Here is an 18,772-nt window from a genome sequence, read left to right as displayed (position 1 = left end):
CCCAGGCTGGTCTCAAACTCCTGGCCTGAAGTGATCCTCCTGCTTTGGCCTCCCAAAATGCTAGGATTACAGTCATAAGCCTCTTTCAGTTGTTTAAAGAGAAGGATCATGAATTTTTAAAGGATCTAATGAAAGCTATAAACATAAACATTCTCTTTATTAAAAAAAATACATGTACACATAAACACAAAAAGTACACACAATTATCAGGATTTATTGGCAACCTAAATTCCTTCCATGAATCCAGTGTTAGGAACACCTGCTGTAAATGTTATACCGCTATTACCTGAATAAATCAAGAGTCTCTCGTGGCCCAGTCTTGGCATATTGTTGCAGTCAAAAAGATATAATCCAGCAATCAAAAAGTATTTATTTACGCATACATTTTTTGAGACAGGGTCTCGCTTTATCACCCAGGCTGGAGTGCAGTGGTTATGACCTCAGTTCACTGCAGCCTCGACTTCCCCGGCTCAAGCAATCCTCCTCAGCCCCCAAGTAGCTGGGGCTACAGGCACACTCCACCCCATCTGCGGCTAATTTTTTGTATTTTTTTGTAGAGGTGAGGTTTCATCATGTTGCTGAGGCTGGTCTTGAACTCCAGGACTCAAGCGATCTGCCTGCCTTGGCCTCCCAAAATGCTAGGATTATAAGTATGAGCACCACACCTGGCCGCAAACAGTATTTAAAATAACTCCAATCTTTACTGGTATCTCTTATAGAACTTTAAAGAATTTCCAAAATGTATCATTCACAACAACTCTTTTGGAAAGCTCTCTTCTCATTCCTTGCATGGCCCTCTTAACGAAAACTCCCTCGAATCCTCTCTTTGCTCTCTTAATAACCCACAGAAACTTTCTCTGACAATTAGCCATGTCGGCTTGTCATTTTTTCTTTCCTTTCTTCAACCTTCCATTCACATTCTTTACTTTTGACTCTATCCTTTTATTCCCCTCCCACCTCTTAAACAAGGAAGTCTTTGCCCTTTTCAATACAAAGTTTCCATTTGGCTCCTTCAGGCCTTTTCCAGCTGATTACCTCAGTTACCCATAGTACTGCTAGGAGTTAAAAGGAGTAAGAGAGAAAAGGGGAAATGTGCAATGGCTGAAGGGCAGAATTTTTCTTACAGATTTTGTTTGGTGGGGGAAGTGGATGTGCACACAGAAGAGCTTGAGACCACCCGTACGTTTACATTATCCCCTCATGAGATTAATTTCTGGTGAGTAATAGTGTCTAATTTCAGCATTGAAAAGTCAGGTGGTGATTGATATTTTAATTTTTTCTTGCTTTTTCCCATGCATTTTCTTTTTCTTTTCCTTATTTTTTAACTTTTAAGTTCAGGGGTACGCGTGCAGGTTTGTTGTATGGGTAAATTTGTATCATAGGGGTTTGTTGTACAGATTATTTTATCACCCGGGTATTAAGCCTAGTACCCATTATTTCTCCTGATCCTCTCCCTTCTCCCACCCTATACCCTCCACCCTCTGATAGGCCCTTGGGTGTATTGTTCCCCTCTATGTGTCCATGTGTTCTCATCATTTAGCTCCCACTTTTAAGTGAGAACATGTGATATGTGGTTTTCTGTTCCCGCATTAGTTTGCTAAGGAGAATGGCCCCCAGCTTCGTCCATGTTTTCCTGCAAAGGACATGATCCCATTCTTTTTTATAACTGCATAGTGTTCCATGGTGTAGATGTATCACATTTTCTTTATCCAGTCTATCATTGATGGGAATTTAGGTTCATTCTATGTATTTGCTATTGTGAATAGCACTGCAATGAACATATGTGTACATGTATCTTATAATAGAACAACTTATATTCCTTTGGGTATGCATCTAGTAATAAGATTACTGGGTTGAATGACATTTGTGATTTTAGGTCTTTAAGGAATCGCCACACTGTCTTCCACAATGGTTGAACTAATTTACAATCCCACCAACAATGTGTAAGCACTCCTTTTTCTCCTCAACCTCACCAGCATCTGTTATTTTTTAATAGTAGCCATTCTGACTGGTGTGAGATTTCACTGTGGTTTTGATTTGCATTTCTCTAATGATCAGCGATGTTCAGCTTTTTTTTCATCTGAATTTTGGCCATATGTATGTCTGCTTTTGAAGTGTCTGTGCTTGTCCTTTGCCCACTTGTTAATGGGGTTTTTTTTTTATTTTTTGTAAATTTGTTAAGTTCCTTATAGTTGCTGGATATTAGACCTTTGTCAGATGCATAGTTTGCAAAAATTTTCTCTTATTCTATAGGCTGTCTGTTCACTCTGTTGTTAGTTTCCTTTGCTACACAGCTCTTCAAATAGATCTCATTTGTCAATTTTTGCTTTTGTTGCAATTGCTTTTGGCGCAATTGCTTTTGGCATCTTTGCCATGAAATCTTTGCCTCTTCCTATGTCCAGAATGGATTGCCTAGGTTGTCTTCCAGGGTGTTTATAGCGTTGGGTTTTTCACTTAAGTCCTTAATTCATTTTGAGTTAATTTTTGCATATGGTGTAAGGAAGGGGTCCAGTTTCAATCTTCTGCATATGGCTAGCCAGTTATCCCAGCATCATTTATTGAATAGGGAATCCTTTCCCCATTGCTTGTTTTTGTCAAAGATCAGATAGTTGTAGGTGTGTGGCCTTATTTCTGAGTTCTCTATTCTGTTCCATTGGGCTATGTGTCTGTTTTTGTACCAATATCATGCTGTTTCAGTGCCTCCAGCTTTGTTCCTTTTGCTTAGGATTGCCGTGGCTATTCAGGCTCTTTTTTGGTTCCATATAAATTTTAAAATAGTTTTTTCTAGTTTTTTGAAGAATGTTAATGGTGGTTTAATAGCAATAGCATTGAATCTATAAATTGCTGTGGGCAGCATCGCCATTTTAACAATATTGATTCTTCCTATCCATGAGCATGAAATGCTTTTCCATTTGTTTGTGTCATCTCTGTCTTCTTGGAGCAGTGTTTTGTAGTTCTCCTTGAAGAGATCTTCCACCTCCCTGGTTAGCTGTGTTCCTAGGTGTTTCATTCTTTTTGTGGCAATTGTGAATGGGATTGCATTCCTGATTTGGCCCTTGGCTTGACTATTGTTGGTACATAGGAATGTTAGTGATTTAGTGATTTTTGCACGTTGATTTTGTATCCTGAGACTTTGCTGAAGTTGTTTATTAGCTTAAGAAGCATTTGGGCTGACAGTGAGGTTTTCTAGATATAGGATCATGCCATCTACAAACAGGGTAGTTCAACTTCCTCTTCCTATTTGGATGTCCCTTATTTCTTTCTCTTGCCTGATTGCCCAGGTGGGCCAGGACTTCCAATATTATGTTGAATAGGAGTGGTGAGAGAGAGCATTCTTGTCTTTTGCTGGTTTTCAAAGGGAATACTCCTAGCTTTTGCCCATCCAGTATGATGTTGGCTGTGGATTGTCATGGATGGCTCTTATTATTTTGAGGTATGTTCCTTCAATACCTAGTTTATCGAGAGTTTTTCACATGAAAGGGTATTGAATTTTATCAAAAACCTTTTCTGCATCTATTGAGGTAATCATGTGGTTTTTGTATTTAGTTCTGTTCACATGATGAATCATATTTATTGATTTGCATATGTTGAACTAACCTTGTATCCCAGGGATAAAGCCTACTTGATCATGGTGGATAAGATTTTGATGTGCTGCTGGATTTGTTTACCAGTATTTTATTGAAGATTTTTGCATCAATGTTCAAGGATATTGGCCTGAAGTTTTCTTTTTTTGTCATGTCTGTGCTACGTTTTGGTATCAGGATGATGTTGACCTCATAGAATGAGTTAGGGAGGGGTCCCTTCTCCTCAAATTTTTGGAATAGTTTCAGCAGGAATGGTACCAGCTCTTTGTACATCTGATAGAATTCAATGGTGAATCTGTTTGGTCCTGAGATTTTTTTGGTTCGTAGGCTACTTGTTACTGACTCAACTTCAGAGCTTATTATTGGTCTGTTCAGGAAATCCGTTTCTTCCTGGTTTAGTCTTGGGAGGGTGTATGTATCCAGGAATATATTCATTTATTGTATATTTTCTAGTTAATAATCATAGAGGTGTTCATAATATTCTCTGATGGTTGTTTGTATTTCTGTAGGGTCAGTGGTAATATCCTGCTTGTTTTTTCGTATTGTGTTTATTTGGATCTTCTCTCTTTTCTTCTTTATTAGTCTAGCTAGCAGTCTGTGTATTTTATTAATTTTTTTCCAGAAAACAGCTCCTGAATTCATCGATATTTTGAATGGTTTTTTTGTGTCTCAATCTCTTTCAGTTCAGCACTGATTTTGGGTATTTCTTGTCTCTGCTAGCTTTGGTATGTATTTGCTCTTGGTTCTGTAATTATTTTAGTTTTGGTGTTAATTGTTAGCTTGAGATCTTTCCAACTTTTTCAGGTGGACATTTAGTACTATAAATTTCCCTCTTAACACTGCCTTTGCTGTGTTCCAGAGATTTGGATATGTTGTATCGTTGTTCTCATTAATTTCAAATAAATTCCTGATTTCTGTCTTTATTTCATTATTTACCCAGATGTTATTCAGGAGCAGGTTATTCAGTTTTCATGTAACTATATGGTTTTGAGTGAATGTCTTAGTCTTGATTTCTAATTTGATTGTGCTGTGGTCTGAGAGATTGTTTGTTATGATTTCAGTTCTTTTGCATTTGCTGAGGAGTTTTTTACTTCCTATAATGTGATCAATTTTAGAATGTGTGCCAGATGACAATGAGAAGAATGTATAGTCTGTTGTTTTTGGTGGACAGTTCTGTAGATATCTATCAGCTCCATTTGATCCAGTGCTGAGTTTAAGTTCTGAATATCTTTGTTAATTTTCTGTCTGTATCATCTGCCTAATGTTATCAGTGGGGTGTTAAAGATCCCCACTATTATTGTGTCAGAGTCTAAGTCTATTTGAAAGTATCTAAGAACTTGATTTATGCATCTAGGTGCTCCTGTATTGGGTGCATATATATTTAGGATAGTTAGATCTTCTTGTTGAATTGAACCCCTTACCATTATGTAATGCCCTTCTTTTTTTATCTTTGTTGGTTTAAAATCTGTTTTGTCTGAAACTAGGATTGCAACCCCTGCTTTCTTCTCTTTTCCATTTCCTTGGTAGATCCCTTTATTTTGAGCCTATATGCATCATTGCATGTGAGATGGGTCTCTTGAAGACAGCATAATGGGTTTTGGTTTTTTATCCAGCTTGCCACTCTTTGTCTTTTAGTTGGGATATTTAGCCCATTTATATTCAAGTTTTGTACTGATATGTGTATACTTGATCCTGTTATCATGATGTTAGCTTGTTATTTTGCAGACTTGTTTATGTGGTTGCTTTATGGTGTCACTGGTCTTCAGTGTGTTTTTGTAATGGCTGGTAACCGTCTTTCCTTTCCATATTTAGTGCTTCCTACAGGAGCTCTTGTAAGACAGGTCTGGTGGTAACGAGTTCCCTCAGTATTTGCTTGTCTGTAAAGATTCTTATTTCTTCTTCTTCTTCTTTAAGCTTATGAAGCTTGGTTTTGCCAGATATGAAATTCTGGGTTGGAATTTCCTTCCTTTAAGAATATTGAATACTGGCCACCAATCTTTTCTGGCTTGTAGAGTTTCTGCTGAGAGGTCCGCTGTTAGTCTGATAGATTTCCCTTTGTAGATGACCTGACCTTCCTCTCTTGCTGCCTTTAACATTATTTTTTTCATTTTGACCTTGGAGAATCTCACAATTATGTATCTTGGGGATGATCTTCTTGTGAAGTATCTTACTAGGGTTCTCTGTATTTCCTGATTTTGAATGTTGGTTTCTCTAGCTAGGATGGGGAGGCTCTCATGGACAATGTCCTGAAATATGTTTTCCAAGTTGGTTCTATTCTTTTCATCTCTTTCAGGGACACCAATGATTTATAGATTTGGTCTCTTTACATAATCCCATATTTCTTGGAGGTTTAGTTCACTCCTTTTCATTCTTTTTTCTCTATTCTTGCCTGACCATCTTATTTCAGAAAGCCAGTCTTTAAGCGCCGAGATTCTTTCCTCCACTTGGTCTATTCTGCTGCTAATACTAGTGATTGCATTATGAAATTCTTGTAATGTGTTTTTCAGCTCTTTCAGGTCAGTTATGTTATTTTCTATACCAATTATTTTGTCTGTCAGCTCTTGCCTTGTTTTATCATTATTTTTGGCTTCCTTGGATTGGGTTTCAACATGAAGCTCAGTGTTCTTCATTCCTATCCATATTCTGAATTCTATTTCCGTCATTTTGGCCATCTCAGCCAGTTCAGAACTCTTGCTAGAGAGGTAATGTGGTCATTTGGAGGAAAGAAGGCACTCTGGCTTTTTGAGTTTTCAGGGTTCTTGCACTGATTCCTTCTCATCTTTGTGAGCTTATCTATCTTCAATCTTTGAGGTTGCTGACCTTTGGATTTTTTGCCCCTTTTATCCTATTTGATGACCTTGAGAGTTTGATTGTGGCATAAGGTTGATTAAACCAACTGGCTTCATTTCTGAAAGACTGTAGGGGGCCAACACTTAGCTCCCAACTCCTGGTCTGCATGCTGTAACTCTGCAAGACTTGTAGTGGGCCCCAACTTTGTTCTCTGGCTCCTCAAGGTTAGCAGCCCACTGTGATGGTGGGACCAAGGTATGGCTGCTGCAGCAGAGTATTAGCAGATGCCAGGGTGCTTGCCTCCCTGTGAGTGTTCACCACATTGGTGGAGGTAATGCAGCTGGTGACTGTGTACACAGTCGCACTGGAAGTGGTCTTGGCCTGGGGGCAGGGTGCTGGCTGGCACAGGTCTGGGTGCCTTCTCTTTGCACTGGAAGTGGGAGTGAAGGGGAAGGGGAAGATCTGCTGTTCTCTGTGCAGTATTAATACAAGGGTGGGGCACTGATGGAGGTAAGGCTGGCTGGTTTTGTGCCCATCAAGGCTGTCTGCAATGGTGATTGGTAGGGGGAGGGTGGGCGGACTGCAAAACCCACCCCATACAGACATGCACCGGCAAAGCAAAGCAAAGCAAAGCAATGTGGACAGTTGCCATGGGCCTGAGGGAAGCTGTAGTACAGGGAAGGAGTGGGCAGGCTGGTGCATGGTTGTAGAGGCTGCCCTACTGCAGCTCTGCACTCGTCAGGCACAGTCCACCAGTACAGAAGCTATAGTGTAGGGCCGCAGGATACCTGGGACTGCCCTGCAAGCAGGCATGGCCTGAGCTGGTGCTCAGGTCAGCATAGCCCCATCTAATGGGCAAGATTGTCTTTCGGAGATCAGGTCCAACAGTTCCTCTAGAGCTAAAGTCTCCTAGGAGCAAGTCAAGCCTAGGGGCATGGCCATCCCTGGCTGTACTTCACTACTGATCCTCCTGCACCAAACCATCTGGGCTCCACATCAGCTGGCTTGCTGCCCCTACCTCTTCTCTAAGCAGCTCTCCCTGCCAACTTGATTTCCATGGTGATTAAGGAATCTTCTCCTGCCAGAGTTCCACAGGCCTATGGTGAGAGCAGGTTGCTCCTTGCCAGTTTAACTTACCCATTCCCCTGGAGCCACTGTGGCCAGGAATGAGTCCAGGTGTGCAGTAGCCCCATGCAGTGTTCCCAGCTTTCTCCTTCTTTAGTACAGCTTCTGTGTCTTCCCTCAGTCCACTTTGGGTGCCTTCCTTCTGAAGATCTATTAGGAGCATGTCAGTTGTCTTGGTCCCTCAGTGGGAGCCATTCCACCTGGCTGCATCTAGTCAGCCATCTTGCCTCCCCCCTCTCCCTGCATTTTTCTATTACCCTCATTTTCTCCTTTTAGATGAGTTGGAACTGGAAGGTAGTGGCTGATATCATGTATATACCAAACTTGTAAATCCAAAAGATTGTTGTCCTCTTCAAAGTAGTCAGCCACCTCGACAAACTACACCCTTATTTCAATAAAATTGGGCATCTCTTTCATAGTCTGACACATATTCTTCAACATATCATCAGTTGGATCAGGTCTTTGAAACTTGAGGTTCAATTTATTGTTTTTAAAACCACAGTCATTTGTACTTAACTCATTTAAATCAAATGGATGGTCAGTCTTAACAATTAAAAAAAATTTAGAGGTAACTAAAGAAATACAACTGGCTTATATTTGTTTATCTGTTTTAATGTAGCCAGTAAGCTGATTTTAATAGCAATTTTGAATCTGGCAACCTTCAAAGACATTGGCCAGTTCATCGTCATGGATATAAATACATAGCCTTCTAAGATAAGTACTTTGAAAGACAACAATCAATTGTGTTTATCAGTTAGAGTACATTAGGTGTTTTGTTTCGTAGTTCTTTTCCATAATAAAATCAAGCTCTTTTGGTTATTCTGTCACTATTCCTATGACTTTTCTCCCATATTTGTGCTTTATAATTCCTGGATTTTTAATAATGTGATATAATTATGATCTTGGACTTTGGCATAATGCAGAGTCATTTCAAACCTTTGGGCAGGCTGGACCATAACTCTATGTCTCAAGGTCCTCATCTGTAAATGGTAACAACTGAACATGCCTCTTAGACTTGTGGTTAAGGTGAAATGAGAGAACACAGTAGAAAACATTTACTACAGACATTAGTACAAAGCAAGTTATCAATTAATATTACCAGTAGTAGTAATAAGAGGAGGAGGAGATGAGGTGACAGTGCTTTGATGGTCATTTCTTTGTTGGTAGCTTAGCTCTGTGTTCGTTGCTCTCTTTTCTTGATTACCTCTCTTCATGCCCACATGTCCCACTTTTTCTCTTTTGTTTCTCACTCTTTTATCTTTTCAAAGTTTATCTCTTTTCTCTTCTCTCTGTTTTACATAAGTAAATAGTCTGGATAGGACCAATTCAATGCCAGGGACTATGACACTTAGTCATTACCATAAGGGACTGTTGAATAACATCAGAACAAGGTGCGATGAAAGTGATAGATCCCTGTGGACACAAGGAACTCTTGCCAGTTGGTTTGTTGTTGTTGGTTTTTAAGCTTAAAGATTTTCCAGCTTCTTACCAATCATTCCTAAACTAACTTGCACATTTTCCAGTGTTTGATAATTTAACACAGTTGGGCCATGAGTCAACATTTCCCAACAAGAAATTATGGCCACAAGAGTATCTTGCCTATGTATCATAAGTTATAGTGACCTTCGGATAACCAAAATGGGCCCTTTGGGACAGGTGGACTGTAGTATGACCCAATTTATCAACATCAGGAAACCTAACAGGTGTCAATCATAAGCATTGCGTTGAGTAATTGCCCACCTCCTTGTCATCAGCACATAACTAACCACTTGTTTCAGTTTATTATGAGGTAGTACATATGTGTGAGATCATCACCTGAGAAATTCTGATCATTGAATTAGGATGTACACTCACAGTTTAATTGAAGTTTATATAGGCAGGTATTTCCCCTTTTCGCAAAATTCCATATTACATAAACTATTAAATGTTTTAACACATAAGAATTTAATGAAGTCATTTTTTTCTCATATACTCTTGGGACTTACTCTGCCATGTAGTCAGTATCACACTTATTCAGAATAACTAATTATTTTGACCAGCAAATACTTTATAAAAAACTTTAAAAAGGAGTCTGTGTCATTGGCACTGGGCAAATACTAAATATATTCACTTGCCCCCAGCATTAATACTTAAAATTGGACGGTGGATGTTATTACATAGGCATAGATGCTCTGCAAGAAATAGGCCCTATTTCAGCACTTTCCCATAAAGAGTAAATCTACTTGGTCTATTTAAGTAAACATCAGTATTATGCTATAAAACTAACAAACAAAAAAAGTTTAGTAGTCATATCCAGATTATAAATTAATACTATATACTCATCTTTTCATTAAACACATATTTGTTGAGCTTCCACTATGTGTCAAACATTGAACTGGGTTCTAAAGACTCAAAGACAGCTCCCTTCCTTTAAAGAGTTTTCCATATAATCAATCAGCAAGGGTAACCAATAAGCACATAATCCTGATATAGTACAGTTTGCCATACAAAAACTATGTACAATATACTATGTGAGCACAGAGCAGACTTTGGGAGGAAGTGGTAAGAAGTAGCTCCTAAAAGAAGATGTCACTTGAGCTAAATCCTTCAAAATGAGGGAGACAGGTAAAGTTAGTGATGTTGGAGCAGTGTTCCAAGAACACATGTACTTTTTCAGAAGCAAAAGAGGCAAAGAATACTTGAGGAATGACCAGTAGCTCAGTTTGGCTGAAATTGAACTTGGTCTTTGCCATCGTGTATTGTAGCACTTTTGTATACCATGATAATTCACATCAGCATTTTATTAGACAGTCTCTCTTTCTCTCTCTCTTTCAAGAATGCAACTTATTAATTCCTTACTCACTGTAGCTCACTGGGCTCTTTATGTTAACTCACTTTATACTCCAACCACCTTGTGGAGTTTGTATCCCTTCCTCATCACATAGATGAGAAAACTGAGGATTAGAGGGCTCAGATATCTTATGTGTGTTTCAGCTGCTAGGAAGTGGCAAAGCTGGCATTCAAATGCAGTCCTATTTAAAAGCTAGTGCTTTTAAACACCTCACTTCACTGCAGTAATTTTTTGAGTTCTGGCTTTCTCCCAATTATGACACCTTCTTATATCATTCTTTTTTTGCTGCTGTCAGCTAGAAATAATCATAGTTAACATTTATACTCTGATTTTAGAAAACACTTGTATACTTGTTTTCATTTGATCCTCACAACTGTTCTGACAGATCAGGAAGTAAATATTATCTTTACTTTAAATGAGGAAATCAATGTTCCTATTGAACATTTTTCTTAAAGAACTAGTGAACAACAAAATAGAATTTGGAAGACACAACTTTATATTCAAAAGTTGATGTTTCACAGAATATACAAAAATTAACTAAAAATGGATCATAGACCTGAACATAACACCTTAAATTCTAAAACTGCTAGATGAAAACATAAGAGAAAATCTTTAAGACCTTGGATTTAGTAAACATTTCTCTTTTTTTGAAATGGAGTCTTGCTCTATTGCGCAGGCTGGAGTACAGTGGCACAATCTTGGCTCACTGCAACCTCCACCTCACGGGGTCAAGCAATTCTCCTGCCTCAGGCTCCTGAGTAGCTGGGATTACAGGCGCACGCCACGGTGCCTGGCTAATTTTTTTGTATTTTTAGTAGAGATGGGGTTTCACCATCTTGGCCAGGCTGGTCTTAAACTCCTGACCTCAAGTGATCCGCCTGTCTCAGCCTCCCAAAGTGCTGGGATTACAGGCGTGAACCACCCATGCCTGGCAACATTTCTTAGATAGAACACAGAAAAGCGCAAACCATACAGAAAGAAACTGATAAATTGAGCTTAATTAAAATCAAAAACAGTGTCTTTGAAAGACACTATTAGGAAAATGAAAAGACAGCCACAGACTTGGAGAAAATGTTGCAAAGGACATATCTGTAAAAGCATTTATCAGTAAAAGGCTAGTATTCAGAATATGCAAAGAACTCTCACAAATCAATAATTTAAAAAACAAACAGCACAATTATCTAAAAAATGGGCAAAAGACTTAAAAGAGTACTTCACTAAAGAAGAGATGTGAATTTACTATGGAGTTATAAGAATTCTACACTGAAAACTACAAAACATTGCTGAAAGACATTTAAAAAGACCTAAATAAATAAAAACACATCATATATTGAAAGAGGTAATATTTTTAAGATGGCAGTATTAACCAGAGTGATCTACAGACTCGTTTCAGGCTCTATCAAAATTGCAATGGCCTTTGCAGAAATGAAAGAGCCAAAATTTATACGGAACCACAAGGACCCCCTGATAGCCAAAACAATCTTGAAAAAAAGAACAAAGTTAGAGGACTCACACGTTCTCTTTTCAAATCTTACTGCAAAACTACAGTAATCAAGACAGTGTGGTACTGACATAAGGACAGGCATAGATCAATGGAATGTAATTGAAAGTTCAGAAATAAACCTATACCTATAGTCAATTGATTTATGACAATATTCTTAAGAACATTCAATGGAGAAAGAATAATCTTTTCCTTATATAGTGCAGGAACAACTTGATATCCACATACAAAAGAGTGAGCTGGACCCTTACATCACACTGCACACGAAAATTCACCCAAAATGGATCAAAAACCTAAATATGCAAGGTAAAATAATAAAACTTCTAGAAGAAAACATACTGGTAAATCTTCATAACCTCGGATTTGGCAATGGTTTCTTAGATACAACACCAAAAATATAACCAACAAAAGAAAAGATAATTTGGACTGGACTGCATCAAAATTCAATACTTTTGTTCATCAAAGTATTATCAAAACAGTGAAAAGATAACCCAAAGGATGGGAGAAAATATTTATGAGTCACATATCTGATAAGAATCTACTATCTAGAATGTATAAAGAACTCTTACAACAGCAAAAAATAAAAAATAAAAATAAAAAAACCAACCCAATTAAAAAATGAGCAAAGGAGTTGAATAGACATTTTCCCAAAGAAGAAATACAAATGGCCAATAAGCACATGAAAAGGTAAAAATCATTATTCCTTTGGGAAATGCAAATCAAAATCACAATAAGATACTATTTCACTACCATTAGGATGGCTACAAGATACAGAATAATAAGTGTTAGAGAGGATGTGAAGAAATGGAACACTTGTACTTTGCTAGTGGGAATGTAAAATGGTGCAGCCACTGTGGAAAACAGCTTGGTGGTTCCTCAAGTTAAGCATAGAATTACAATATGACCCAGCAATTCCACTCCTAGATGTATAATCAAAAGAAATGAAAGCATGTGTTCAAACAAAACTGCATACACAAATGTTCACAACAACACACTTTAGCCACAAGTGGAAACATCCCAAATGTCTATCAACTAATGAATGGATAAACAATATATATTATATCCATACAGGGGAATATCATTCAGCCATAAAAAGGGATGAAGTACTGATACATGCTATAACATGAATGAACCTTGAAAACATGTTATATGAAAGAAGCCAGTCATAAAGATAACATCTCTTGAATGATTCCATTCATATGAAACATGCAGTATAGGCAAATCCATAGAGACAGAAAGCAGATTAGTGTTTACCGGTCACTAATTGCAAATTTTATGTGTATTTCACCAAACACACAAAAAAGAGGAGATGTGAATGGCAACTGAGCACACAGAAAGACAATGACCATCAATGGTCATTAAGGGAGTTCAAATTACAACCATGATGAAATACTACGACATGCCTACAAGAAAACATGCTATGTGAAAGAAACCAGTCACGGCTCAGATCAGAAACTCTGAAGATGACAAATGCTGGCAAGGATGTGAAACAACTGTAACTCTCACATATCACTGGTAGGAATGCAAAATGGCACAGCCACTTTGAGAAATACTTTGGCAGTTTCTTACAAAGTTAAACATGCACTTACCACGTGACCCAGCAACCCCACTCTTAGAGATTTACCCAAGAACAATGAAGACATGCATCCTCACAAAAACCTATAACCAAATAATATTAGCAGCTTTATTAATAATTGCTGAATAGTGGAAATAACCCAAATATTCATCACCTGCTAAGTGGGTAAATATTACACATCCATAAATGAAAAACTACTCAGTAATAAAAAGGAACAAACTAGAAATATTTATAATAATGTAAATGAATCTCAGAAGCATTATCTCAGTGAAAGAAGTCAGACTCAGTCTGTGTTTATGACTTTCTGGAAAAGGTAAAACTGTAGAGACAAAAAACAGATTAGTGTTAGCAGGGGCTGTGATTGAGAGGAAGGGATTAACTGCAGTGGGGCATAAGGGAAATTTAGGGGGTGGTGGAAATGTTCTCTGTTATTTCTAGTGGCTGTTACACAACTGTATATGTTGTCAAAATATAGAACAATACACACAAAAAATAAATTTTACTGTATATAGGTTCAATTAAGCTGACTTTTAAAACCACCTGTTTTTTATTCTCCATTATTGTCTTTCTGAGGAACACAACATTAAATTTTTTAATACTTTCAATTTAATTTTCACACTATTAAAAGTAGAAGGAAGTTCGTTTCTAGACCTGAAGATCAAAATGCCTGCATTCTTTTTTGCCATAATCCTATGGCCCAGATATAAAGTCATTGAGTCCATTTAACATGAATGAGAACCAGAAAGAAATGTCAATGCCATGCTTCTGGGTCATCAAGAAGAATAAATAGGGAATGGGAGATGAAATGCAGAAAAATCGAGTCTGCAGGAAATTAACCAGCTGTCAACCTACAGAGCAGGAAGAGGTAGTAGTGAGGCCCAGTTCAGGAGGAAAAGTGATTTTCAGCTTATCTCTGGACTCACCATGGAAAGCACTTTCAGTCCTTTGCATCCTAGACTCCCAAGCAATTGGATCCTTTGAGAAATTGTGACAGAACGTTTATATTTAGATGAAAACAAAATAATTCCAAATCTGTTAAATCAGTTTACAGAAAGGAGCTGGTTTTTTACCCTCACACTTTTCATAGTGCTCAGCAACTACTGGGAACAAAACAAATATTTGAAGAATTAATGAATGAATATACTACAACTTGCTGAAGGGCAGAACAATTTTCTATTAAATTAAAAACTCTAAAGGATAATGTAATATGACTATTGTTCTGTCCATTATTACTTCAATAGTTCTAGAGAAAACCGTATTTCATTCTTTATTGTGTGCTTCTTCTGAACAAGTCCTCGTCAAAAGAGTTTGCTCCAGTGTTTTCAGGGTTTTAAAAGATAGAATAGATCTAAATAGAGTCAATGTAGACCTCAGCAATTGAATATACAATTTCAGCAAAGTATGTCCTTTGCAGTTTGAGCCCACTAAAGCTGCTACATGGATCATATAATTGATTTGTGGCACATTCTGCCTGCATCTACCCAATGGTTTATTAAAATAGAATAGACAAATGCCAATAAAATGAAAAGCTCCACTGAGAATTGACCAAACCACATTGCTTTCTTCACACCTAAGGTATTCCAACCAATAGTAATTTCACAGCAGCTCTCTGTAGTACCAGATACAGAGCTCTGTAATCAGGAGTCCACAATACAAGTAAGTCTTTCCCTAAAGCACAACAAAGAAATGGGTTTATGAAATCACCGTTAAATATAATAGAACACTGGAGAGATGAGAACAGAGGAAAGATGAAATGATGAACACAACACATAAGAACCAATTAAAAATGTACCATCTCTGCAGGAAAGCACCCGTGTGTTGATAAAGCTCTTTATGAATATTAGGTACTGTAGCATAAGATGATTAGAACTGAGAGCCTCAAAAATCTGTGGCCAAAAGAGATTCAATTATCAAAGAAGGATACCTAAAAATAGATTAAATGGTATAATCAGCACCCCAATTTATCATTATTATCCCAGTTTGGAGTATCAGTTATCTGTAATAAGATTCAGTGTATGGTTAAGAAATAATCTTTATCCTCACTTTTCTTAATAATATAACAAATATATTTCATATGTATATGATTTCTACTTCACTACAAAAATCTGAGCATGGAGAATCAACTGTTTTAAGAAAGAATTTTTTAAATTAAATCAGAATAGGTGTTGTCCTGGGCAATTCAGTTGCTCAGGAACTGGGATAGAGTGGTGAGGGGTTAAGTGTGACAAAAGAGAAGGTGGTTAATAGCATGGTTATTTGGAGGGTGGGGGCGGAAAAGCAAAATTTAGAGACTCAGAAACTAAAGAAAATTATTTCCATAGAGAAAAAAATTCCACCACCCTTAGAGAACATTTGAACACTGAAAATATAAAAATTTCAAGACTTTGAATTAGCTTTTTTGTTGGCTTGTGTTCATTCATTCTTTGAGCAAATATTTATTCAATGCCAGTCATATACAGTGGAGTAATAGATACCAGAAATACAAAGATGAGTAAGACACAGCCCCCATAGCTTGCTACTTTAAGGACTCAAAAGGCTTTTAAACATCAAATATCTCTTACCAAATTGCATTTTGGTTAGTTGTGTGTAGAGGAATTAGCAACATTTTGTTGGATTTTCGTCAAACCCCAAAAGGATTTTTTAAAAATAGGAGAACGTTAAGGGTAAATACACCCCTAGTAGAAGCAGGAACATTACATTTTGAATTTGGCCAATAGAAAATATTTTGTGTATAAATTTAAAAAAAAAACCTGTTTTCAACTTTCATGTCCCAGCCCTTCCTTTCTTATATTATGGAACTTTATTCAGTGGCTAATAGTATTGTTCCACTGTAGCCACAACACTGAAGTTATATCTTTTTCAGAGTGCCTGGACTAGTTTCCTATATGCAAATAGGTAAACAGGCATTTCCATTGACATCAGAATAAGTTCTGGTCTCTCCTTCATTTATTGACACTTCTCCCTGTGTGTGTAAACAGGCATGTGATTAATGCTATAATCAATGCCTTGGGAATATGGTAAGATTAGGGAGATATATACAGAGAATCAATATGAACCGCATTCACTCTCTAGGCCACATGTAATTTGAATTTATTCCACATTTGATTAAGTCATTTTCCCCCAATCCCTATTTTCCTCCAACCCTTAGATGGTTACTACCTAAATATTTAACCATGGGTGAACAAACGAACCATGTGTTACTGTAGATTCTAGTTTTATCTAGAGTAATATTTGTATAAAAAAGAGATTGTGCAGATTTCTGGGAAACATGTTTTATACAAGATTTCATTCCATTTTTAGAAATTACTCATCCACTCACCACACCCACACTCAGGTTATCCAGTGATAATGGAAATTACTGATGGGTTTTCAAAGCTCACATTAGCTCCTCCCTAGCCGCCATCTCTCCCTTTCATGGAAAACATTCTTCAGACTGACAGAGACTCTGCTTTGAGCTGTGTCAAGCCTTACCCCAGAGCAGTGGTTCCAAGCATTTTTTTTTTCATGGACCAGTAAAATCTCTCTAGATGTTTTGGGAACTAAGGTAATATTGTTATCTTTTAATTCTTCAATTAAAAATTTAAAAGGCAAAAACACAGCTACAAGAATTTAAACAAAAGAATAAACCCAAAAATAAAGTTACAACCTCATAACAGATTTATACATATTATATATATAAAATGCACTTAGCTCCATGAAAAAGCTCAGAATTCTTACTTTTTTTTCATCTTGCCACAGATTGCCTTTTGGGAAAAACTACCTTTGTGCTTTGCATAGATAGGGGCTATAAAAGAACAAGTTAACCAAATATTCAATTTCTGCTGTTTATGTACCATGGCATGGGCTTATGTTTACAATGGCAGCAGAGTAGAGAAATGCAAGGAAGTGAGAAAATGTATGAATCAGCTCCATACCATCTTAGCCTTCAGAGCTATTTATTATTGCCAGTATGGTCAATACCTCACATACGCAATGAGCAGGGGAAATGCCAAGGCAAGAAGATTATTACTCAAAGTTTTCCCCAGTCAAGTTAGTGTGCAACCAGTAAACAATAGCATTTCTCTGAATTCAGGAACAATTTAAGTAAAAAGTCACTGTCAGACATTGGAGTGGATGAAAATTTTTTTTTTGTTTCTTGTTATTTGTTTTGAGACAGAGTCTCACTCTGTCACCAGGCTGGAGTGCAATGGCATGATCTCAGCCCACTGCAACCTCCAACTCTGGTTCAAGCCATTCTCCTGCCTCAGCCTCCCAAGTAGCTGGGATTACAGGCACGTGCCACCACGCCCAGCTAATTTTTGTATTTTTTTTTTTCTAAGTAGAGACAGGGTTTCACCATGTTGGCCAGGATGGTCTCAATCTCCTGACCTCATGATCCACCCGTCTCAGCCTCCCAAAGTGCTGGGATTACAGGTGTGAGCCACCACGCTTGGCCGAAAATTGTTATTAAAAGATGCAGTGTGAGTATCAAAATACAAGGGATGGCTTAGACATCTCCATCTGCTGTCAAGGCTCATGCATACCAAAAGCTTATTAAAATGACCTGCAGGAAGGTAATATAACATAAGAAAGTGGTAAAATTATCTACAGTCTTTTGCAACTAGGTTTTTTTTTTTTTTTTAATGTGAGTTACCTTGTATGCAGTTGAGAAATAAGAGATCAGTATCAGGAGACTCATATTGGTTTCAAACTCATTTATATTTTGAAGTAATTGGAGTAAGTTTTCTTACAGGCAAAGATAAAGCCTTGCTAAATGTGAAGGTCTTAGGAATAAAAACTAAAAATCTACAAACATGCTTTCCTTTAGTGCAAATAGTGGCTGTTCCAATGGCTTAAAGAATTGCTGGTTTTCTACCATGTTAAGCTCTTTAGCAAAAGTGGAAGTCCAGATGGTGAAACCACAAAGATATTTCCCCTATATTAACATGACAGACTGATGAAAAAGGCAGCATCCTAGATCATATTTTCAATTTAGCTCAAAATGTTCTATTTTAGAAGCAACTGTCCTCCAAGACCCATATCTCAAAGGAGAAACACAAGCCCCAGGATCTAGGCTGCAAAGAGTGTACCACTGTAGCTAGATGCAGAAGCTGGAAGAATGTTAACTGTACTAGCCACTTTACTATGATGTTTATTGGTTTTGTTAGTGCTTGGTTCAAAGTTCCATAGGCTTTGAGTCATCTGCCCCCAAATCTGTTTTTTCCACAAGCCCTGATATTTTTAGCATACAATTTTGTAGAACTATGGTTGTAGCTAAAACGCCTGTATTTTATTTTCACACAGCAGCCAAAGCACCTGTGTGACCCAGAGAAGGGTAGTGTCCTGGAGAGGGGTCTTAGAAGGTTGTTAGAAGGAATTGTAATTGG

The 18,772-nt window shown here is 37.5% G+C and overlaps 1 protein-coding gene and 1 long non-coding RNA gene across 14 annotated transcripts in view; one reads left to right on the top strand and one right to left on the bottom strand.

The window, feature by feature from the left end:
* Positions 1–18,772, bottom strand: part of LOC101929727 (uncharacterized) — a 248,010-nt gene that overhangs the window by 69,519 nt on the left and 159,719 nt on the right. The gene's annotated exons all lie outside the window — the stretch shown is intronic.
* Positions 1–18,772, top strand: part of RNLS (renalase, FAD dependent amine oxidase) — a 411,796-nt gene that overhangs the window by 272,716 nt on the left and 120,308 nt on the right. Inside the window, exon 7 of one of the 13 annotated variants that reach the window (XM_047425435.1) lies at positions 1,127–1,216. The exons of the other annotated variants lie outside the window; for them this stretch is intronic. Within the exon in view, the coding sequence (XP_047281391.1) occupies positions 1,127–1,171 (45 nt within the window). The 3' untranslated portion in view covers positions 1,172–1,216. The remainder of the gene's footprint in view (positions 1–1,126; positions 1,217–18,772) is intronic. 13 annotated transcript variants of the gene reach the window in all.

Source organism: Homo sapiens, chromosome 10 (assembly GCF_000001405.40).
Source record: "Homo sapiens chromosome 10, GRCh38.p14 Primary Assembly".
Classification (NCBI taxonomy): Eukaryota; Metazoa; Chordata; class Mammalia; order Primates; family Hominidae; genus Homo; species Homo sapiens.
Note: the sequence above shows the minus strand (reverse complement) of the source record. Positions and strands in the feature narration are given on the sequence as shown.